General features: G+C 38.2%; 1 protein-coding gene across 3 annotated transcripts in view, besides 1 other annotated feature; it reads left to right on the top strand.

The window, feature by feature from the left end:
- The window catches only part of SLCO5A1 (solute carrier organic anion transporter family member 5A1), a 167,933-nt gene that overhangs the window by 87,787 nt on the left and 54,919 nt on the right, over window positions 1-25,227 (top strand). For 2 of the 3 annotated variants that reach the window (NM_030958.3, NM_001146008.2), the window contains one exon: window positions 8,988-9,152. The exons of the other annotated variant lie outside the window; for it this stretch is intronic. In NM_030958.3, coding sequence (NP_112220.2) covers window positions 8,988-9,152 — 165 coding nt within the window. The remainder of the gene's footprint in view (window positions 1-8,987; window positions 9,153-25,227) is intronic. 3 annotated transcript variants of the gene reach the window in all.
- Window positions 8,245-8,294: a silencer, noted in NCBI's record as "silent region_19263". NCBI's record gives its function as "represses an Ori minimal core promoter by ATAC-STARR-seq in GM12878 lymphoblastoid cells {active_cell/tissue: GM12878}" and the evidence as "EXISTENCE:reporter gene assay evidence [ECO:0000049][PMID:35858748]".

The raw sequence follows: 25,227 nt of genomic DNA, 5'->3' as shown, positions 1-25,227 counted from the left end.
TACACTTCCTAAGAGAAGGGGGCATGCCTTGCCATGCAGGGCCACAGGGGGAGCATCAGGTTGGTCAGGAGGCAGAATCGGAGCAAGGCCAGAGTCTAGGCCACAGCCTTTGTTGGGATATCCTTGGGAAAGAGCTTAGGATTGGCTAGTTTGAATAATGTCCACAGGCTGTGGGCTATAAGGATGATCTCCAGTTGTCTGGTACCTGACCCTGGGTGATTTAGGACAGGTGAAGTGTGTGTGAGTTAGATAAGGAGGTGGTTGGGGCTACCAACTTGGGATTGGTTGGTTTGCTTATGAAAGGTATGCTCGCAGTGGCAGCTGAGCCCAATGCTATCTCTAAGAAGTGGCTATAGTCCTGGGAGGGCAGTCTCTCGCTGGCTGGCAAGCTTTTTAAGAAGTCAAAGCATTATAAAATATAGAAATTTATAAACATGATTAATATGGAAGCTTATGTGTTCTAGCTGGAGTATCTGCTCACTGGCCTCCTTCGGCCATAATTATCACGTGGTGTTCCCTCTGCCTTTCTTTATTACACCACTTTTCATCCTCCCCCTTGAGGAGGCCTTTCCTATGCCCTCAAGGCAAAGGCCTTGGTACTGCCCATGTGCTTTGCAAAGCACCCTGTATTTTGGCAGTATCACATTATTTTAAAATTTATCAATAAAAATCCCCATCTTTTATATAACTATGACCTTCTACTCTGGTTGCTTTCATCTTCACTCTTGGTCTCTGTGCCCAATGTGAATTTTATGCCTTGTTTGACTTTAGTCCCTTTAAGCTGCCTTTGTCTGCTTGTTCGATCACTCTTCTCTCAAAATGTACTTTTATATAAGAAATGGGTGTTATTTAAGACTTTTAGGAAAGGACTAGATGGGTTTCCAAATGGAGCCCAATAATTTAAGTATTGAGATAAATGCCTGGCAATATCTATCCTAAGGAAATTTCTTTTTTTATTTTTCTTTCTTTTTCACAAATATCTTTATTGGACAATCACTACAGGACTAAGAACTCAGGATGCATACATGAAAAGTTACAGACCTTGCCCTCAAAGGGAGGCAGAAAAGAAAGTAGACACAATATTAATATGTTAAGTCCTAAAATGGAGATATGCACATTCTAAGAAGGTGGAAGGAAGAGGAGGAAGGAATCCATGTTGGCTGCCTGAGTCAGGGAGGACGTTCAGGGTTGACACATTTCTGCATCCTTTTAAAATTGCAGCTTTTAAAACAAGATCCTAAAAGTAATACATGTTCATGACAGAAAATTTAGAGAATAAAATAAAAGTGAATTCCAATCCCATTTCTGAAAATAAAATGCTTAACTTTTTTTAATAGTAAGAAAGTATTTATATTTTGAAACTAGATAGATGTGGTGGTTGCACAACATCGTGACTGTACTAAATTCCACTAACATTTTTACTTTAAAATAGTTAATTTTATATTCTGTGAATTTTGGCACAATAAATTATTTTTTTAAAAGGGTATGTATTTTAGTGGAATTTAAACATTAGGAAAATAAACTGCCTGGGCTACTAAATTTTAGATAAATGTTAGTATGTGTGGATATATCCATGTCAAAAATTATGAAAAGCATTAAGAGGGGCCAGTATGTTTGTTTGGTATTTAATACTCATAATTTATACCTGGGTAGAAATGTACATTTTGGGGTAATAAAATTTAGTCAACTGCTTCATAGTAATACTAACTTATCTATTTTGTATAATAATAAAACAAGCAGTAGTCCTCATCCCACCCCCAGTTTAAATTTTAAAAAAAGATGTAAAAGGAACAAAATTAATAGCTTATGTTTACTTTTAGAAGGGCTCTTTAGAAGAACATAAAAGAAATGTTGGTGTGGATGCACAATGTCGGTGGGTAAAAACAAACACACAAACAACACATCCTGGGGAAGGAATTTTCTTGCAACCAGAAAAAAAAACTAATCAGAAAATTAATGAAGGTTAAAAAAGATGGTGAAAAACTAATTAGCACACAGAAATTAGTATTCCTAATTATGATTTTGAATCTTGAAGAAAATGTCAGATTATGCTATGCATTCACTAGTATTACCAGTTAATACAACAAAAATATTTAAAGCTTTGTTGCTTAAAGAGGCAATCACTCAGAAATCTGAAAAATTAAGCATATCTCTTTCCCAGATATGCTGGATAAAGGACAATATTGTATATTTTCTGTTTCTCCTGTTAGTATTTTAATTCTTCTTTAATGGACATTTTAGTTTATAATCTTATCTGATGCCATTAAGGATTCTTTAGCATTAAAGAACCATACTTTTAAAAGGAGCATAATTTTCTATTTTCAGTGAGTTCACCACTGTGGACCACCTTTCATCTTATGACTTATGCTTTCTTAGCTCTTAACCTGCTCCCCAGGAGGAAATTATGTCTCTTTGGAATGGACTCCATTTTTTCACAAGTATATGGCTATTGCTTTAGTACAAATTATTGCAGTGATATAATAAAGAATGTTAATAAATGCATTCCAAGTATATTTTTTGAGTGCCTCCTATAGGCCAGATGAATGCTGGGAGCTGAAGATGTACAGATACCCCAAGGTCCTGCAGTCATAGCTTTTATAGTCTCCTGAAAGGAACAGACAGGTAAACACATGCAGCTACCTAAGAATTGATGACTAGAGCTATGGACCAAGTACATGGGAGCACAGAGAGGGAGCCCCCTAGACTGTCTAGAGAAGCTGTGGATGCTTCCTACAGGGGCAGATGCCAATCCTGAAAGTTGATGGATGAGTTTGACATTTGCCAAGGAGATAGGTGGGGAATACCACAAATAGTACAGAGATGAAGAAGACCATGCCATGGATGAAGCTTGGGGCAGGGCAACCGTAGGACTACAGAGTGGAAGGGCAGGCAGCAGCCCGCTCTCACAGGCCTGGCGCACTCAGTGGTGTTCATGGTAGCTGGGCCGCCTTCTTATGCTTCTTATGCTTGGTCAATCCCTTTGTTGGCATACATTTTTCAAATATATCATTAAAACAAAGTTTGTTTCAGTAATCTAACACAACAGCAAAAAGACATGATATAGATCCTTTCAGGTTGTAAAGAGCAGAAGCCAGTTCCAGCCACCTGAGATACTGGGGTTCTGGTGCAAGGCTCCAGGGGAGAGGAGAAGCCCCAGCAGCTGGGCCCCTGGCAGATAGGGATGTGCCCATTGCCATTGAGCTCCACAGTCACTCTGCAGACTCCACTGTGGCTCCAGGTTCAGTTTTTCTTACTTTTGTCTCTCACTCAAATCTTCATACTCCCTGCCTAATTAGCCCTTTATAGTCTCCAATGCAAACACTCCAAGGGAAACAAAGCCAAGGGGTTTTTGGCCAGTCTTTGCTCACATAGGGTGCCTTAGGCTTCTGGTGGCTGTTGGGTTGCCTGTAGATAGCACCTCTGAGTCCCGCCTCCTTCCCTGGTCTAATCAGCTCATTTGGGGATATCAGGTCCTATGGTAAAAACCTTGCAGCTTCTGTATAAGGAGCCACAGAGGATGGGTCTTGCAGTGTGACAGGGACTTGCAGAGCCCTCTCCAGCCTGGGATATATTTCTTATCAAACTAAATAAACTTCCAGGAAGTTCGTCTCTCTGCCCACTTGAAAAGATGATTGCACCTTTCAGGTTCACCGAAGTTGGTGCTTGTTTAAGCTTTGCTCATCCAAATAAAGACCTTTTGTAGTACTAGTTACTCGGGAGGCTGATGTGGGAGGATTGCTTGAGCCCTGAGTTTGAGGTTGCAGTGAGCTATGATCACTTCATTGCATACTGGTCTGGGCAAAAGAGGGAGACCCTATCTAAAACAAACAAACAAACAAACAAAAATAAAGACCTTCATCAAATACAGACTTTAAATTATGACTTATTTAACAAATGAGCATAAAATATTCACACATGCTGGAACCCACTTGGCTAATGGTCAAAAAATTACAAACATATCAATACCTTCTGCCTTATATCATGCTGTGATCAGTAGGTTTGGAGAATAAATTACGGCCTCTGCCCTCAGTGAGACTGATCCAGTCTCTCCTAAACACCATCCCTTATCAGCTTCCATAAGAATCTGGTCACAGCCAAGCACAGTGGCTCACGCCTGTAATCCCAGCACTTTGGGAGGCCGAGGCGGGCAGATCACAAGGTCAGGAGATCGAGACCATCCTGGCTAACATGGTGAAACTCCGTCTCTACTAAAAATATAAAACATTAGCCAGGCATGGTGGCAAGTGTCTGTAATCCCAGCTACTTGGGAGGCTGAGGCAGGAGAATCACTTGAACCCTGGGGGCAGAGGTTACAGTCAGCTGAGATCACGCCACTGCACTCCAGCCTGGGCAACAGAGCGAGACTCAGTCTCAAAAAAAAAAAAAAAAAAAAAAAAGAATCCACTCACACCACCTATCTCAGATTTTCTGAATTTTGACCAAAGGCTTTGGAGGCCCCTGGGTGCACCAGATTTATTGCAGCATAGCTCTGTTGTGATTGGAGTACAATTTAACACCAGGTCCGTGTGCACGTGATGATGGGGCCGCCTATACTGTCATCGATATGCACCTGGAAGGAGCAAATGATCTGCCAATGCTATTAACACTTCTTTTAAAAGTGATTTCAGAGTATAGACCACCTTAAATTATAACCTCTTGAATTTTGGTGCTTTGTGTTGAATTTTATTCCTACTTTACTACTGTTTAAGGCATCTCCTGGTTTTAGTGCCAGCCTGAATTTGTAAGATTTCCTAGCATTAAATGATCAAAAATTGATAATCACTGTCATTATTTCATCATCTCTCCTTCATCATGCTTTTTACTGCATCTTTGGTTTTACAATGACACAGTTATAAATGACACCAAGAAACTGATCTAAAATATATTCTGTAGCATAAAAATTAAGTATTTGGTTGCAAATTTAGGAAGGTTTAACAACTTCTTTGCTAACTTAGTCTTCTAAATTTTGTGTTTTTGAAATAATTTTGAATTTACATGAAAGCTATAGAAATAGCACAGGGCACCAGTGTACCCTACATCCTGATTCCCCAATTGTTAACATTTCTGAGAAATTGAGGGTGTGGTACTCTACTGTCCCTAATACTTCAGTGTATGTTTCCTAAGTACAAGAACACTCTCCTATATAACCACAGGACAGCCATAAGAATCAGGCAATTCACATTGATCTGGTGCTATCATCTAAACCATAGGCCCCAGTCAAATTTTGCTGATTATCCCAATAATGCCCATGATGTCCAAGATTCAATCCAGGATCACATGCGTTTAGTTTTTGTGCCCTTTAGTCTCCTTCAACCTAAATCAGTTACTCATCCTTTTTTGTTTCTCATGACCTTGGTCTTTTAAAAAAGGTACAAGCAAGTAACTTTGTATATCCATTAACTTTGAATATCCATTAACTTTGAATATCCTTCAATTTGGATTTGGTGATATTTCCTGATTTATGCATGTTTGCAGGCACACCACTGAAATGATGCTATGCTCAGTACATAGGAGCAGAGACATATAGTGTTAATTTGCCCTATCACTAATAGGCTTTTATCACTGGGATAAGATAGTATTTGCCAGGTTCCTTCATTCTAAAGTTAATAAGTATAATGTATTATTAATCAATGAGTAATTAAAAAGAACTTTGTGGGGAAATATTTTGAGGCTATGTAAATACATTTGACACCTATTATTTGTGGCAGCTATGTTCTATAAAGTCACTGTGAACACTGGATTAGCCTGGACTGAACTTCACTCCTACGGAGGGTACAGGGTTGGGTTCCTATTACAACATAATCGTCAACCAGTCAATCAATACATGACCTCGCTTTATGTATCTTTCTGTTTAAAGACTCCTTATTTAATATATAGGGTTGATTCATTATCATTGAACTTATGGTCAATTGCACTGTAACTCATGCCTGAAGGAAGCTTATCTAACATGAGTATTTTCTCCGTAAGGCACATCATAGTCTTTTGCACTTTAGGAACCCTAGACAGCACTGCAGCACAAGGGATTTTAAACAATGAGATCACCAACAAAAAGTACAAAAATGCAAAGCATGTGAGACAATGTATTATGGAAAGGACACGAGTTTACAATATGACAGCAGAAACAAGAAAGCAGAGTGTCACCTTGTTCCACCTCAGCTGGGAATGTGTGCATTGGACGACTCAAATTTTTCTCTGGTCTGCATGTGACTGTGAAAGTGCTGTGAGTGTTAATTTTTGGGGTTACAAATAAATTTTAGCAAGTAGATGTCTTTGGAAATATGGAATCTGTGAATAATAAAAACCGACTATATCTCATTCCTATTAGATTTTTGCTTACTGGTTTAGCATCTACAGAGGTCAAATTGTCCCAGATTGGGCTATTGAGAATCCTTCAAGCTGTCTTCTGTGTCCTTATGACATGTCCTCACCATTCCATGAGCACATTTTTGCTTTCTTGTTCAACAAGATTTTCTAGGCTTATCTTGTATTATCTCTGCTCCAGTTGTAAAGTTAGACATTTTTCCAGGGAACTCTTGTTCCTTTTATTAGAAGATGGTTTTTAGAAATCAAGAATTGGTTGCTAGGTGGATGCATTCCTACCAGGGTGTCATTACTTCTAAGCCTTGTGAGCAGACGGAGAAGGACCTATATTTATACCCACATACAAACACACACACAGTCTATCATCCATGTATCTATCTTCTTCTAATCTATTTATCTATCTGTCTATCTGAACCATGAATTCATACCAGTACCTCCAGTTCCAATCTGATGTAGAACGATCCCCCTTTCCATATTTGTAACTCTCTTCTTTGGCAGTTAGAAAACTGATTTCCATTATTTTCAATGTATTTATAACTTTCTAAGTCTCCTTTGATGTAAAAAATCACCCAGTCCCACCAACCAAAGGTACAACCCTGTATACTGTTCTCCCACCCCAACTCCTGGAGGGCTGTAGGCTGAAAGCTCAGCCCCAGTAAAGGAGAATGAGAAAGGTAGAAGAAAGGAACTTAGAGTCGTTGAAGGTCTGAACTTCTGCTAATTCTTCTTAGATAACAGCAGACTTTTTTAATAAAAGAAGAGAGAACCATCATGCATGTTTTTAGTTACCCTTGAAATTAGAAGGCTATTTTATCATGCCAAATGGCTATAGAAGAAAAACCCGTTCAATATAACCAGTATTTCTTAAAACAGTCATGTGATAGTATGTTACTTTCTTATGTTAAAAATTTATTTTATATTTCTCCCAGATGTTTTAGAGTCAACACATTGGCTTTTAATATGCTGCTAAACTTAATTTGAATCTTTAAATGTTGATAGGTAATCTTAACTTTCTAAGTTCTAAATTTTGGATATGACATTTTAATTTACAGTGTTTACAAGAGGCTGTAGGATGATTTTATGAAGCACTTTATGTTTTTCTCTGGTGTGTTTATCCATGTAAAAAAATAAAGCATGCATCTTAATTTTTATTTTAAATTGTTAATTTAAACTTTAGAAATTAAATTAAAATATAGAACATTAAATTTAGTTTAAATTTTAAAATGATGACAGTGAGCAGTCTTAACTTTCTAAGTTTCAAATTTTGGTCAACAGGAGGCTATGAATTATAGCTTTAATACAAATTCTAGGCTAATTTTAATGAAATGACTTTATTATGTTGAAAGAGATAACCGTTCTGAGATGACTGTATTGCCAAAAATAATACAGCTTACCTTTTCTATGAAGATACATAAAGATTACATAAATGTACATTAATTCAGAGAACACAAAACCTTAATAGTCTGGTGTTATATATTTTTCCCAGATGTTTAAGAGTTAACACATAGGCTTTTAATATACTGCTAAGCTTAATTTGAATCTTTAAATGTGGATAGGTAATCTTAACTTTCTAAGTTCTAAATTTTGGATATGACGTTTTAATTTACAGTGTTTACAAGAGGCTGTAGGATGAGTATGATTGAGAAGTATATATTTGACCATATAAAATACATTGTTTTGGTTTGTTTGATTTTTAATTAAATAGAATTACACACATATATGTACATCTATTTTTGCAGCTTGCTTTACACATTAATACAAATATTTCTTGGAGTTCTTTTATGCCAGTACATACAGCTCTATTTTGTTTTTAACTACTGTCTAGTTTTCCATTATATGGCTGTGCCATCATTTATTTAAACATTTCCCACTGATGGAAATGTAGATTCCCCCCTCCTACATTTTTGGTATTATAAATTATGCTCCAATGAAAATACTTGCACATATACCTTGAAGCACATAGATGGCAGGTTCTGTGAAATAAATGCCTAGACTCAAGGGTGAGGCTTTACTTTCTTTCTTGGAGGCAGCTCAGCAGGTGCTAAACCCCCACCTTTCAGCTCTCCTTCCTCTTTGGAGATCTTTGTTCCCCAATTCAAGCACCTCAGAGTGTCTGACCTGATGGCCTCATTCTTTTAGCTTTTTAAACTGTGACTATTTCCTGTTTCATAATGAGCCTTGACAATCAGAAGTATAACATCATGTAGATGCCCACAGAAGCAGAATAGCTACATAATAATATTACTTGGGAGAAGTGGAAATTGTAATTTAAGGCTGCATTGCAGGCACTTTACACATCTAGTGGACTTTAAGGCCTTAACAATAAATAGCATTGCCTTAATTACTGAAGAAATGCAAATAATTCTAACAGTTTTTGAAACAGGAACTATCAGTTGGGTACTGCTTATAAGGATATTTGTGTATGGGTATGTTTTTAGGTACTTTACTTAATTTCCATATCCTGGTTGAAAGTTAAAAAAAAAAAACAAAAGAAAATCTATTTAAAGAGGATGGTTTCTAATCGTCATCAGATCTTTCTATTTTTATTCCTTGGTGGCAAATGTTGCTGAATGGCTATTTCCAGTTCATTTCAAAAACAATTCAGTTTTATTTTGTTTTCCATCCATTGTTTATAACATTCATTTGTCATTTTTGTCATTTTGTAGACCTACCAAGAGCAGCTGTCAGGATCTTAAGCAACATGACATTCCTTTTTGTGAGTTTGTCATACACAGCTGAGAGTGCCATTGTAACTGCTTTCATTACCTTCATTCCCAAGTTCATCGAGTCACAGTTTGGTATCCCAGCCTCCAATGCCAGCATCTACACTGGTAAGGCACTGCCGCTAGGGCTGCTTGAAAACATGATCATTTTGACCATGAAATGGAATGGGTAAAGAGAAAGTTCAATCTAACATCGAAGTGTTAAGCTAGTTCATTAACAGCTACCTTTCCCCCCAGATTTTAGGAGGAGGAAATCCTGGAAAGTGTTCTCTTTGATTCAGATTGTATTACCATGTGACACATTTCCCAACTGTGTTTTGGGAAGGGAGAGAATTTTGCATATTTATATTTCTATGGTTCTCAGTTTAAAAAATGAAATAGGCAATGACATTCAAATTTAAATCTAAATAGATCTTTTTATGGGTTGGCATGGGTTTTAAAGTGTTAAGTTAAAAAAAATTGATAACCTGAAATATAGATCAGTTTCATGGTAGCAGGATTTCCCCTTCAGAAATGTGAACAGATTTTATTTGAATTACTGGAGATGTGTGAAGTTGAAAAGGAAATGTATGAATTTTATTTTAGATGTTTGATGTCTGGGAAACTGATTTTTAGGAGACTTTGATGCATATACCCATAGTACTTAGTGCTTAAAATCTTCTTTCATAATAAATTGGATGCTTAGAAATGTGGAAACATTAATTCTCAGATATTGGAGGAATTTTCAGTATATTATATAATGTAATATTGTAGATATTTTCTTAGTGATATCAAAGATGGCTGATTGGCCATATCTTCCTAAAGGCTTAATTTATTTAATAAGGTATATTTCAGTAGTTGAAGTGTATTTAAATAGTGTAGAATTATGATAACTTTTCAAGTGACTTAGGCTCCTACGTTCTCCAATTCCACATTCAAATCCAGTAAACTTGAATTATCTGAAAATGAACAAGCATCACTGTAGAAAGAGAAATTGATTTGAAATATCTGGGTAATCACTTTGTTCTTTACTTCATCTTATACATATAAAGACATACAACATTGGGTTGTGGGCCCAGGATAGCACATGTTTTTATAAAGAATACACTGCTGTGGACTATTGTAATTGTGACTTAAAATATGTTTTTCTTGATCTTGGTTGCAAAAATATATGATTTCCTATATTAAGGTAAAATTTCCAGATTATTTTATAGTTTGGTTGTGAGAAAATCTAAACCTTCTACTTGTAGTTTAACTCTTCCACTAACCCTTTGTTGAGCAATGATTTTTGGACAGGGAAAACAAAAGTTGTCTTGAAGTTAGATTCAAAGCCACACAGCTGTTAATTATAGGGTAGTCTCCAGCATTTCCCAAACTAAGTTTCAATATTCAAAGGTGTTAGTGGGAAGACAGTTCATAATAAAATAAATTTGGAACTTGCTGAGTTAAACAAAGTATCGTAGGATTCTTTACTGCAGGCCCTTTCATTTCCTTTAATATGCCGATATGCATCGTGAAACTCCCAGAAGACGACTCAGACTACAGCCTTTTCCAAAGTCATTTGACCATGAAACCTGATTTTTTTAGAGGCATCTTTTTCATAAACAGTGTTCCCCAGGATACACATAGGGAAGCCATACTGTGTGCCCCAGTTCCAGCCAGACTAGGGAGCAGAGCTGCCTAGATCATCCCACTTCTCTACAGATGCACCATTTTCACCCCAGGGTTAGTGGGAGAGTAGTGCAGTGCTGAGCCGGGTAGGCATTAATGCACCTTGAATGCATATGGCTAAAGCCATCTCTTAGTTACTGGTAGAGGCCAAGGCTAGACAGACAACTTGTGGAAAATAAAGGGTTCAGCTGGAGCTGGGGTGTCGGCTACAGAATAAAGGGTTCAGTTGGAGCTGGGGTGACGGCTGCAGACTTCCACAGCAGTGTGGTTGAGGCAGTGGCCACTAAATGTGTCCCACTTGGCCAGGAAAGTGCAGGATTGAATAAGGCTAACTCACAGTGTTCATCCCATGCTCCAATGTCAGAGTTAAAGAAGCAATATCTCAAAAATGCGACTTCCATTCTGATTTTGTCATCAGCAACTTTTGTTTGTTTTGATCATAGCCAATGCAGTTTATACAATGTTTGCTATTCCACTTCTTCTGATAAAAAGCTTTTTATTTCCAGGTCACATATTTTTTCTTCCTTTATAGATAGGCAGCAAATAATAATAGTCAAGAGATATTAAGATTGATTAAGAGTAGAGGGGGGCCTGTCAAATTGCAGTAAGATTAAACAGAGATGATAATTATTTTTAAAACTACTCTTGGTTTTTCTTTTCTTTTTTAAAAAATTTTAAGTTCTGGGATACATGTGCAGTATGTGCAGGATTGTTACATAGGTAAACGTGTGCCATGGTGGTTTGCTGCACCTACCAACCCATCACCTGGGTATTAAGCCCCACATGCATTAGCTATTTTCCCTGATGCTCTCTTTCTCCCCTCAATCCCACAACAGACCCCAGTGTGTGTTGTTCCCCTCCATGTATCTATGTGTTCTTACCATTCAGCTCCTACTTATAAGTGAGAACATGCGAGTTTGGTTTTCTGTTCCTGTGTTAGTTTGCTGAGGATAATGGCTTCAAGTTCCATCCATGCCCCTGCATATGACATGATTTTGTTCCGTTTTATGGCTGCATAGAATTCCATGGTGCATATGTACCACATTTTCTTTACCCAGTCTATCATTGATGGGCATTTGAGTTGATTCCATGTCTTTGCTATTGTAAATAATGCTGCAATGAACATACGTGTGCACGCATTTTATAATATAATTATTTATATTCCTTTGGGTATATCCCCAGTAATGGGATCGCTGGGCCAAATGGTGTTTCTGGTTCCAGGTCTTTGAGGAATCGCCATACTGTCTTCCACAATGGCTGAACTAATTTACATTTGCACCAACAGTGTAAAAGCGTTCCTATTTCTCTACAGCCTTGGCAGCATCTGTTGTTTCTTGACTTTTTAATAATCGCCATCCTGACTGGCATGAGATGGCATCTCACTGTGATTTTGATTTGCATTTCTCTAATAATCAGTGATGTTGAGCTTTTTTCATATGTTTCTTGGCTGCATGTATGTCTTCTTTTGAGAAGTGTCTGTTCATGTCCTTTGCCCACTTTTCAATGGGGTTGTTTGTTTTCTTCTTGTAAATTTGTTAAAACTCCTCTTGGTTTTTTGAATTGTTATCAGTTTAATCATTCTTACTCTCTGGGCATAGATTTCATTTTTCAAAGAAATTTTAAAATTTGAGCTCTTTTGTTCTCTGAATCCCTTTTTTTAATGCATGTAGACTGAAATGGGGAATTGAGAAATATATCTGAAAAAGAATTTATCATCTGACAAAGTTTTTGAGTTCAAATTCTCTTTTCACTTAAAAAAATTATTTAGATACATACCCTGACCTTCACTGCAATTTGTTTGCGTTGTGTTATGGATAGAGAGGAAGCACCAAACACCTACAGAAGGACTGACCTTCTATTGCTCGCTTGTTCACATTGCCATTGAATGCCAGCTCTGTGCACAGCACTGTGCCTGGTGTGTGGCTGGGGAAATCTAAAGACTCACACCAGGGCCTTAAGTTGCTTACACATCTAAGAGGAGAGAGAAAACTTATGAAATACATTAGAAAAAGCTGTCTAAATAAATAAACAGAAAATTTGGATCACAGAGATTATTTTCGCTGATGGGGCAGTGTGGTTGAGTTTCATTTCATGGACAATGGCTTTTAACTAGGTTTTTAAGGGAAAGTAGAATCTGCCCATTTGGAGTTTGGAGAAAAGGTGTTTATTTCCTGTGGAGGACCAGCTTGAGCAAAGGCAAAGCAGCAGGGGTGGATAAAGCTTACTCTAGTGGCAAAGGAGGGTGGAGGGGAGAGTTTATCCCTAGGTCAGAAATAGAGCTCCAAAGGCAAGCAGGTGCAGGGTGGGAAATCTGCTCAGGGACCTTCAGCTCCACTTCTCTCATGCTGTAATCACTTGAGGACACTTGTGCCTGGCGGGAGGTGGTGACACCAATGTCTGACGAGGGCATCATCGCAATACCAGAGTCAACCCCACTTCACTCCTCTGGTATAGTGTGTTTCTACTGAACAGTGGGGTCTGTGTCACAGTGCTCTCCCTGCTCATGGTCTTTCTGCTGACCCACTTGGGGTCACATCTATCTCTTGAAAGTAGTTAAATATTATGAAGTTGGTATTTTGGAGAAGCCTGAAATGATGGGACGACCCCTTGTATTAGTCTGTTCTCATACTGCGATAAAGACATATCCAAGACTGGGTAATTTATAAAGAAAAGTGGTTTATTTGACTTACAGTTCTGCATGGCTGGGGAAGCCTCAGGAAACTTACAGTCAGGGCGAAAGGGGAAGAGGCACGTCTTACATAGTGGCAGGTGAAAGAGAGTGAGGAAGAGCAGGAAAAACTGCCTTATAAAACCATCACGTCTCGTGAGAACTCTCACCATCATGAGACTAGCATGGGGGAACCACCACCACGATCACATCACCTCCCACCTGGCACCTCCCTTGATACATGGAGATTACGGGGATTACAATTTGAGATGAGATTTGAGTGGGGACACAGGGCCAAACCGTATCAACCCTGAAGGAGCAGTTATACAGGGTGCCCGTGGAATCCATTCACTGCCGGTAACTAGTTGCATGGCTTTGGTCAAGTCACTTTCCTCCCTAAATTTCAGCTGAAACTGGAGTTTATCTGTAACTTGAGGATAGTCTCTCCCCTGTCTCTCTCTATGTCAGCATTGTTGTGAGGATCAAATGAAGTAGTGAATAGTGATTTGTTTTGAAGCTTACTTAACTTCAAATAGGTACAACAATATAAATGGAAAAATACAACCCGATCATATCACAGTAAAGAAAATTATTATTTATGATGATAGCACCTTACATCTGAAGTTGTGCACTTTGAATAGGTCTGAGAATAAAATTTCTGTAATAATAACGATGATAATAAAAACACTGCTGACATGTACTGAGTGTTTACTAAGTCCAAGGCTCTACCTAAGCAATTTTATGTGGGTAACATCATTTAATCTATGTAACTAATGCCTATGAAGTAGATATTATTAATTATGCCAGTTTTCTAGATGAGAAAAAAAGGGCCAGAAGGGTTTAAGTAACTTGCTGAAAGGCAAATAGTAAGTGTTAGAACTGGATGCTAGAGTCTTGTACTCCTTGGAGTATATAAATATTTCTATGTGATTTTTTTTTTTTTAGACGGAGTCTCGCTCTGTCGCCAGGCTGGAGTGCTGTGCCGTGAACTCGGCTCACTGCAACCTCTGCCTCTTGGGTTCAAGTGATTCTCCTCCCTCAGCCTCCCAAGTAGCTGGGACTACAGGCATGCGCCACCATGCCTAGCTAATTTTTGTATTTTTAGTAGAGATGGGATTTCACCATGTTGGCCAGGCTGGTCTCAATCTCTTGACCTTGTGATCTGCCCGCCTCTCCCTGCTCATGGTCTTTCTGCTGACCCACTTGGGGTCACAGTGCTGAGATTACAGATGTGAGCCACTGTACTCGGCCTCGCTATGTGATTTTTACTGAAATATTATAATACGTATATGCTGTTGTCATCATTTCGATTTATTTTTTTCACTATTTCCAAAAAGACAATATTCCAAAGGATTTAGGATTCCACTTCCATCCACTCAGCCATGGTCCACAACGTCTGTTTTCAGAGCACTGTGATCTTTCAGCATTGCCTTTGCTTGGGCTCTTGCCCTTTGATGTGTACAATTATAGAGTTAGAGCTATTGGTTTGTCTTTACAAGGGAAGTAGCCTTGGAAAATTCCATTTTGTTTTTCACTGTAGAATAATTGAGATACTTACTTCTGCGGTAAAAGAATTAGGTTGGGGTGTAATTTTTAAAATTACTGTAATTTTTATTGTTGTCTAAATAACCAAATATTTGCCATCCATCTTCAGCCACTGAATTGGGATTTGGTTGAAGTGATTTACAGCAGTGCCACTGAACTTAAATTGCAGCCTTTGGGAATCACTTCATCTTTAGATGCAAGAGATATATGAATGGGCTTTGATTTGTTTCATTCTTCTAAGGGCATCAACAGCTTTTATATAAGTTTATGAGCAGTTTTTAAAATTTTTGTACTAGTTTTGTAAATGTATACACAGATTTTTCTCTTTAATGTTGAGATTAAGCATTTAAATACAAATCTAAGTGTTTTAGGTGTAGATGTCCACTATCACTGGCCATTTCCAAGGTCAGGTGATGACACTTGCCCCTGAGACGTGTGCTGACACTACTCAAGCATGGTGGCTCTGAGAGAGGAGAAAGGTACTTGCAAACCAACATTTTGTAGCAGGTGCTAAAGTCTTCCCACTTATATCATTTTAATCATTATTGAGATGAATAGACGCTATTAGGAACAAAAAGTGAAAATTATAGGCTCTTTGTCTTTTGGGGAGAGAGGTATGTATTAATATCATGCTGAATTACATTTGTTTCTCTTCAGTGCTAATGAGAACTTTTGTAAGAGCTCATAGTGGACAAAAAGTCAGAACACTCAGCTTCTCTTTATCAATCAACTAATTTAAGGAATGTTTGGGTGTCTACCATGTGGCAGGTTCTTAGCCAGTGCTCTAATGGCAGTTAAACAGGGTTCAATTGCTCTTTAACAATGTTTTTAAGACTCAGATGACCCAAAATGATAAGAAACACATTGGCATTTCTTGCAGGAAAGGATACTACATGGCATCAGCATTAAAGTAAAGATGATTAGGTTGGTGCAAAAGTAATTGCGGTTTTTGCTGTTGAAAGTAATGACAAAAACTGCAATTACTGGCTGGGTGTGGTAGCTCATGCCTGTAATCCCAGCACTTTGGGTAGCTGAGGCAGGTGGATCACTTGAGGTCAGAAGTTTGAGACTAGCCTGGCCAGCATGGCGAAACCCCGTCTCTACAAAAAATACAAAAATTAGCCAGGCGTGGTGACACGTGCCTATAATCCCAGCTACTTGGGAGGCTGAGAGGCATGAGAATCACTTGAACCTGGGAGGCAGAGGTTGTAGTGAGCCGAGATTGTGCTACTGCACTCCAGCCTGGGCAATAGAGCCAGACTTCATCTCAAAAAAAAAAAAAATTGCAATTACTTTTGCACCAACCTAATACTTTGCAGCCACAGGCCATCTCACATGCTTGAATATTTTTATATTCAAGCCATCTCACATGCTTGAATATTTTTAGTATTTTCTTGGCCCCATAGATTCCTGCTATGTAACCAGTTTCAACAGCCGAGCTCTCCAGGGGTCTTAGTGAGACTGGTTACAATAAACATGAAATGAGCATGTTTGGAAAAATGATTTAATCTAAGATTTTAGAGAAGGAAGAAATTACAGAGTTCATGCTCATTTTTGTCAATAAACAATGCTGACAAGCTGGTACAAACCATCCTCAACCACTTAGGACCCATAGTTATAAGGCAACACTGTTCATGAACATGTTTTGTGCCTTGACTAGGAGTCAGTGCCCTACAGATGCACGTTGATGATTTGGCAAGACAGCTCAGGCTAATTCCAGGCCTGTGTAGTTACTCCTCGCAGGGACTCCCAGGGCTTTCGCAGTACATAAGGTGGACAGTGTTTTTCTCTCCAGGTCTGTTTTCTAGTCTAGAAAACAATAACTTGAACTGAAATGAACTCTATAATTCTTCCTTCCCTAAAATCTTAGATTAAATAACTTTCCCAAAACCCTGTGTACCAAATACACATTTATTCTTACCTTCCCTATAGAGTTATATTGTTTTCTTAAAAGGGACTAGTTACTAACCAATTCATCACTCTGGTATTTGTAGTAATGTTGCATCCCCACAAACTCTGGCCATGTCCAGAATCAATATTATCTGTTTTGTTTTGCTGTGGGCAGCCTAATGTAGTACACAGACCTCTCTGAATCCCAGATCTGTGACTTAACTAGATGTAGGCTTTTAGCCAAGTTGCTTACCCACTCAGAGTCTCAGTTTCTCATTTGTAAAATGTGAGTGATCATTCCCCAGGGCTACTGTAAAATATTAAGTGAGCTAATTAGATCTTAAAGCATTTGGTATACAGTAGATAATCAAGAAAAATCAGTTTCTCCTCTTTTTCTTTTATGAAACTGTGCTAAATTTAAATTTCCTTTAGGAAATCTTGTTAGGTTTTCTGATTTTAAAACAAATTGTATTGGTCTACTTTACAGTGGTAATTGGAAGGCTTTTTGTTAAATCCCACCCGCGAAGAGAGGTAATACAGTCATATAAAATGGTAAGAGGTGACTATTTTCATCTTGATCATAGGAGTAAAGTAGTGGAAACTTTCTGGGGCGGGAGACAGTAAGGAGTCTTAGGGAGGGATGTCCATGCTTGCAGCATATTACGAATCTCTCTCTCACACACACACACGCTCTCTCTCTCTCTCTTTGAATTATTCCAAATCAGTTCGCCAAATGACCAGCTTCTTGTTTGGCCAGTTCCCCCAATGACCGTAATTTCTTATATGATTCTTTCTCTTTATTTACTAGTTTTCAGAGTAAAAATTTATATTCTAGCAAATTTATATAGTGGCCAATAATTTGTTAAAAGTATTATTAACTCATTTTTAGGTGTTTGATGTGCTTTACTCCATTGCAGTTATCTTTTTTTTTTTTTTTTTTTTTTTTTTGTTGGGACGGAGTCTCGCTCTTTCGCCCAGGCCGGACTGCAGTGGCACGATCTCGGCTCACTGCAAGTTCCGCCTCCCGGGTTGATGCCATTCTCCTGCCTCAGCCTCCCAAGTAGCTGGGACTACAGGCGCCCTCCACCTCGCCCGGCTAATGTTTTGTATTTTTAGTAGAGACGGGGTTTCATCATGTTAGCCAGGATGGTCTCCATCTCCTGACCTCGTGATCCGCCTGCCTCGGCCTCCCAAAGTGCTGGGATTACAGGCGTGAGCCACTGCACCGGGCGCAGTTATCATTCTTTTTGATGCTCCAGTTGCCCAATCTTTGGCCATTGGGAGCCCCTTAAAGTCAGTACCTGTGTCCTTTGGCTCTACCTCAGTAGTCTTTGTGGTTTCTGTCATGACAAAAGGTGACTCACTTACCTTCCACATTTCCTGCCCTGGACCTCGGATCAGTCGTATATCTGCAAGGAATCTTGGTTTCTTTGACAGGAAAATGGTACTTGGACACCATCATCTGGACACTCGGGTTGCCCATTGCTCATTGCTACAAGATCGTCATTGTTTCTGGACTTTTTCTAATTAAAAAAAGTCATGAGATTATACTGATGTTTGCACTTCAAATGTTAATATCACAGTTATTACTTACCTTTTCTGATATTATATTTTATCTCTTTTGTTTAATGATAAAAATCTTTTTTCTAATGACTTTAACATAATTATTTTATTCAAGTGTGTGTGTGTTTGTATGTATGTATAATAATTTCAAACCAATTCTCAGTATTATTTATTAACCATAAACCATAAGACATATAGCACAGAAGTTAATCGTAAAATACTAAATACAGCTTTAGACTTTTGTAGTTTGTTTTGTTCAAAGGCCATTTCTTACTGCAGATGTGCAAAATACTGTTCTGAAGTTATCTGAAGTAATTCTTCTCTGTTTGGTTATATCTGATATATTGTGATGTTTGTTTTAATTTGTTTTTGGTTTTTAATTTTAGAATTACCTTTTTAAAATTTTAAAGTTAAATTTGTATTTAAAATTATATAAAACATTTATATGGTTTGAAGGTCAAAACTATAAACAAAGTACATTCAGAGAGGCCTCAGTTCCATTCCAGTTTCTTCCAATTCTCTTCCTCTCTCTATAGGAAGCCATTTAAAACATTAGTTTATCCTTTTTTATTTCTTTTTAAATACATAAGTAAATACATGTATTACGTATGCAATATATATAATATATACATCGGTATTTTACATTAGTGTTTTTCACCTTTCTTTCCAAAGGTTGGCATGCTATATGCCCTGTTCTGTACCATACAGTCTAGAGACCTTGCTCATTTCTGGATAGCTGCACGGTACTCTATTGTGTGAAGTCTATTCAGTCCCCTAATGATGGGCGTTTGGTTGTTTCCATTCTTCTGCTATGACATGATAGTGATAGGTATAAGTCACTTCATACTAAATAACCCATTTTTCTAATACATTATACTTGTTCCTTTTAAACTATCTGATTGCCCAGCATGTAGTTTGCGTTTGCGCTGGCAGAGAAGCTGATTCCAGAAAGGGAAAAGAGACTGAGAGACTGTGAATATTTTTGTCACATAATACTCAGGCCTCATCCTTCCCACGCTCTTTCCTGCCCAAGATTTAGCATTTACCCTCAGATTCTTATAAAGATCAAAAGAATGAATCTTTGTGAAAATACTTTAAAAAGCCTATACAGCTTTTGGGAATCCAAAGCAAATTGACATCTTTCCTTCAGTGGAGCCTGTGCTATGATGGTGAAAACCGGTGAACTTTATTAGGCTTCCACTCTGAGCCAGGCATGGCATTAGCGAGGTGCCTTCCATGCATGCTTTGCAGTCTTCACCACAGTACTGCAGTGGGAGGGAGTCCTCTCTCCAGTGAAGAGTTGATGAAAATGAGGCAGGCAGAGCAGTTTTTGCAAGAACACACCTCACAATCCATTATAGGTCCATATTATACAGATTGAACTGTATAATATGTAACTGTATAATCTGTAACTCAGAGAAGCTGCTTACAATTTGGAATTTTTATTGTGTCAATTTTTTCTTCTCCAACTTTCATGTACTAGGTAAGACATATAGCATACAAGTTAAAAGGGTCAGTTTAGGAGACAGATCTTGTTGAAATTCTTACTCTGTTTTTTCATCCACCCATCCATCCAGCCATCCCTTCGCCCATTCATCCATCTATCCACTCACCCACCCACCCATCCATGCACAACTATTTATAAAGCTTTTGCTATGGGCCTGGCACTATGCACAGGGAAGCCATATGAGAACACGGAGGGGTCCCACCTTCAAGGCCTCACAGTCTAGTGAACCTTGTAGGCTGCCTGTGACCCTGGACCAACTCATTAACCTCTATGGGTAGCAAAGGCTCTGAGGATTAAATGAGATAAAGTATGTTGTGGGCTTCACACAGTGCCTGGAAAGTAGCTATTAGTAATAAATGTATTGCACATTTATTAGTAATAAATGAGATCTTCCAGGAAGAGGAATCTAAGGCAGAAGAGTAAATGCAGGACTTATGACATGTGGAAAACATTCATAAGAAAGATTATCTGGAGGGAATGGATTTTAAGAGGAAGAAGAAAAATTATGGCTAATAGGAGGTAGAGGCCGGGCATGGTGGCTCATGCATGTAATCCCAGCACTTTGGGAGGCCAAGGCGGGCAGATCACTTGTGGCCAGGAGTTCGAGACCAGCCTGACCAACATGACAAAACCCCATTCTCTACTAAAAGTATAAAAGTTAGCTGGGCATGGTGGCACACGCCTGTAATCCCAGCTACTCAGGAGGCTGAGGTGGGAGGATCGCTTGTACACAAAAGACAGAGGTTGCAGTGAGCCGAGATCGCACCACTGCACTCCAGCCTGGGCAACAGAGTGAGACTCTGTCCCCCCAAAAAAAAAAAAAAAAAAGGAGGTAGGAAAATGAAAGAGAAAGCAAGAGACTTGATACTGAAGTGAAAGGCTGAGGAATAATCTCATCTGAACTGAAGGAGGCTAGGAGATATAATATCAATGATAAAAATACAATTGCTTTAAACGTGTATCAGCTGAATCGGTGTAGGGTCAGGGTCAAATGTTTATATCTCTGATTTATTTACTCTGCATTTATTTTTCCAATATAAATGGCTACTTTTCACAACTCTTAGTGGGAAAAAAGAAATTTTAAGTGTTTTAATTTTATATATTTGGGCACAGTGCAGGAAAATGTCTGTTGACTAAATCTTTCAATTAACTAAAATGTTTTTTGCTTCACTTACCTTTGATGATTAATAGCACAGTCCGTATGTCTGGGATTTGTTTCCCAAGCACATGTGTGCACGCTCACACTGAAAAACAAAGACAAACATGACCTACTTATGTGGATATATTCTGGGCTCTGAGGACATTCACCTCGGTGCTCTCCACATTACCACCTCTATGTTCACAGCACGGTGTTCTGAATAGCCCAGATCCCCTCGAGAGCCTTAGTCATAAAAAATATTATATGTTGTTCACAGAGCAGGATTTTTTGTGAATAGAAGTCAGGTTGAGAAAGATTAGAGAGCTTTTCAAAAAGACTGAAAATCCAGAGGAAACAAGGAAGTGTCAGAAGCAGACGTAGGAGCGTTTCTGCTACTGAGTGCATCTTATCCTTGGTTCAATCAACAAAGATATGCCCAATAGATTTGATGAAGGAATGAATAAAAACTTTCTTCTTCCTGACCCTTAGGGTTTGCATCTCTACAATGAGGATTTGAATTAGACAATGTTTCACTAAAGGGCAACTAACAAACATCCCACCATCCCCCACGACTTACAAAATCCTCTGATTTTTATGAATAGCTTCTTTTTCCAGGCATTCAAGTTAATCACTATCTTACCACTTTACTTTGGATCTATACCTTTTCCTGGCAGTTAAAATTTCTTCTGTGTATACATACATACATACATACATACATACATACATCTTTATTCTTTTTCTCCCTTGGTACATGAGATGGAACTGAGGTTGAATTGCTTCACTTTTTGCCTTTCTGGGGGTACTTTACAGAAATAAGGTAGCTCGATGTTTAAATTTCTGCCTTTGAGAACCCAGAAACTTCTTACTGGGCATGTTAGCAGGCCCATACCTGCTAAAATGAGTGATCCCTACCTGCTCTGTACTGAACCAATATGGTATAGGAGAAAGGTTGTGGGTTTTGGCATCGGAAGTTCTGGGTTCAAGATCTGCCTCTGCCCCTTACAAGCTGTGTAGCCTTGAGTGAGTCAACTAATTTGGCCTCAGTTTTACTGGCTGTGAAATGCTATAACTGTATCCATTTTAGAGGGTTTTTGAAGTTTTAAAAATTAAAATTTACTTAAGTGTAAAGAACAACACAAATATTAATTATTAATGAGAATGACCCTGGCTTTTCTCCCTATTTATCAAATAGACCATCCTCCATATAAATGACAGGAGAACCAGGATTATTATTGAAAGAGATGAGGGAAGGGGAAAAGTAAGAGGCAGGGTAGATAATTAATAAAGACACAGGTGTGAATTCAAGCATCCATTGCCTCACAGTTAGTGGCACACTGCGGCTAGTGACAAACTGTTCTGACTCCCAGCTCCTGCTGCGGCCTCTTATTTCCCCAGAGATGCTTTCTGTTTACTCATAAAGATCACATCCTGAGCTAATGAATATCCTGGCCCTTAAATATGGCCAGGATAGAGTTATTAACACAAGGCAGGAAATACCTTACTCTTTTTTCTAAAGAATGAAACGTGCTTAGACATTATTAGAAGTGGAAGTAATGTCCTTTTGCTGAACCGTCTCACAATGGACCTCAGCAAATTAGCTTTGCTGCCAGGCTCAGCTTCCTGGTGAGGCATCTTTCCATTGTCCAGAAGGTAGAACTTGGGTTTATTTGGATATGTTACTGTTAGTCTGATTAGATTTCAGGCTAATAGTTAATTTTTTCAAGTCATCGTACTGAAATTCTTCTCCTATCTCTATTTGCAATAAAGATGAATATAATTTATGTTTGATTTTTGATTAAAGTGGTTATTTAGAAATGTAGGTGCACACTTCCCTTATTACCTGTGCAAGGGACAATTTGTGTATGCTAATTTTATATAGAGTAGTTCAGTGATATTATTATTCAGTGATACATTATTCAGTAGTTCAGAAGATATTATTTAGCAATATCTTCCTTAAATTTGTTTGAAATAGGTACTGTATAAATACCAAACCCTTTTGAAAATGTAAAAAATTGAATAGGTATTTATATATTAAATGCAAAAATTGAATGCTTACATATTGTAGTATCCTTTTAGTCAATTGGCATATACTGCTGTTACTAAAAAGCATACTAGGCCCGGCATGGTGGTTCACACCTGTAATGCCAGCACTTTGGAAGGCTGAGGCAGGCAAATCACCTGAAGTCAGGAGTTCGAGACCAGCCTGGCCAACATGGGGAAACCCCATTTTTACTAAAAATACAAAAAATTAGCTGGATATGTGGTGCACACCTGTAGCTTCAGCTACTCAGAAGGCTGAGACAGGAGAATCGCTTGAACCCGGGAGGCGGAGGTTGCAGTGAGCCGAGATTGCGCCATTGCACCCTGTCCTGGATGACAGAGTAAAACTCAGTCTCCAAAAAAAAAAAAAAAAGCATACTAAAATTGTTGTTAAACGAATGAGCACCTATCCTATTTCTTGGGGAAAAACTTCAAGGAAAGAGATTTTACAACTCTCCTTGGCTTCCTTTTCTATCAGTTAATAAACCTGTTCATATTTTTTAAAGTATGAACCTTTTCCTCTCACCTCAAATTTTTTTTCTTTTGAGGGATATAAAGGATAAGTGAATTTTGATTTTGAGAAAGATGTTAACTTGGGATGGGCATGGTGGCTCATGTTTGTAATCCTAGCACCTTGGGAGGCCGAGACTGGAGTATGGCTTGAGCCCAGGAGTTTGAGCCTGGGCAACATAGTGAGACCTCATCTCTACAAAAAATAAAAAAAAAAATTAGGTGGGCATGGTGGCTTGTGCCTGTGGTCCCAGCTACTCAGGAGGCTGAGGTGGGAGGATTGCTTGAACCCAAAATGCAGAGGTTGCAGTAAGCCAAGATCGCACCACTGCACTCCAGCCTCGGTGACAGAGTGAGACCTTGTCTAAAAAAATAAATAAAATAAAAAAAGAAATGTGTTTAATTTGTATTCAAACATTCATCATGCACAACATTAAAATTATTAACAAAATAACCTTATAGACAGAATAAAAAATAGTTTTAATGTTATGCAAAACAAATACATCTTTACAAATACTTCAATATAGCTGAAAATAAAAGCTATGGTCTTGTGCTATGCTTTTCATGTTGTGGTCAACATAAAATCTAGATTCTTCAGTAGGTTTGTTTTGTTGTGTCTTATACTAACATGAGTAAACGTAAAATGCCAATAACTTGCCAAAGAATATATATTTACTATAGTCTCATATATTGTGGCTAAATTATGCATCAAGAATAGTCAGTCACTGCCTCATCTCTGTATCAGCCAAATTCATTGATGCGTATGTATGTTCCTACATATGTATGTATATATTCACACACAATACGTACACGCATACACACAAATATTCACACACACACACACACACACACACACACACCATGCATGTGTTAACAAATCTCATCATTTTTGTCTTGAAGATCTGAGTTTGTTTTAGGAGACAGTGTAACTAACTGAAAAAATGAGTAAGAGTTAAGAGACTAGGTTTCAGTTTTAGAAGGAACAATGGACCTGGAACTTAGGCAACAGATTTCTCATGTCAGACCTGAAAGAGCTCTGCCTTTGAAATCAGATTTTTGTCCTGTCTTTGTTTTGTTCGCTTGTGATCTTGGACAAGGTGTGTCATTCATGTATCTTAGTTTCCTTATACAAAAAATGGGAATAAATAATAATCCATAAGATTAAATAATATTAAGTGTAAGTACTTCAAGACTTGAAGTACTCCACATATTTATTATGATTATTACATTGTCATTTCATTTTCTCAGTCTGTTTTCTTATCTGTATAAGGAGATAATACCTGTTTATAGAGCTGTTGTATTGATCAATTAAATAATTGATGTGAATGTGCTTTGAAAAAGTCATAAGGGCTTATTTCCCTCCATGAGTTTAGGTTGTTGTTGGTAATCTTGGTTAAAGTTGAAGTCAGCTCACTCTAACATAAACGCATTTATTATTTTATTTTATTTATTTGTTTGTTTTTTTGAGACGGAGTCTTTGCTCTGTCACCCAGGCTGCAGAGCAGTGGTAGATCTCAGCTCACTGCAACCTCCGCCTCCTGGTCTCAGGCGATTCTCCTGTCTCAGCCTCCCAAGTAGCTGGGACTATAGGTATATGCCACCATGCCTGGCTAGTTTTTGTAGTTTTAGTACAGATGAGGTTTTGCTATGTTGGCTAGGCTGGTCTTCAACT

The sequence above is a fragment of the Homo sapiens genome, chromosome 8 (genome assembly GCF_000001405.40).
Source record: "Homo sapiens chromosome 8, GRCh38.p14 Primary Assembly".
Classification (NCBI taxonomy): Eukaryota; Metazoa; Chordata; class Mammalia; order Primates; family Hominidae; genus Homo; species Homo sapiens.
The sequence above is the reverse complement of the archived record's forward strand: the minus strand, read 5'-3'. Positions and strand labels throughout refer to the sequence as shown.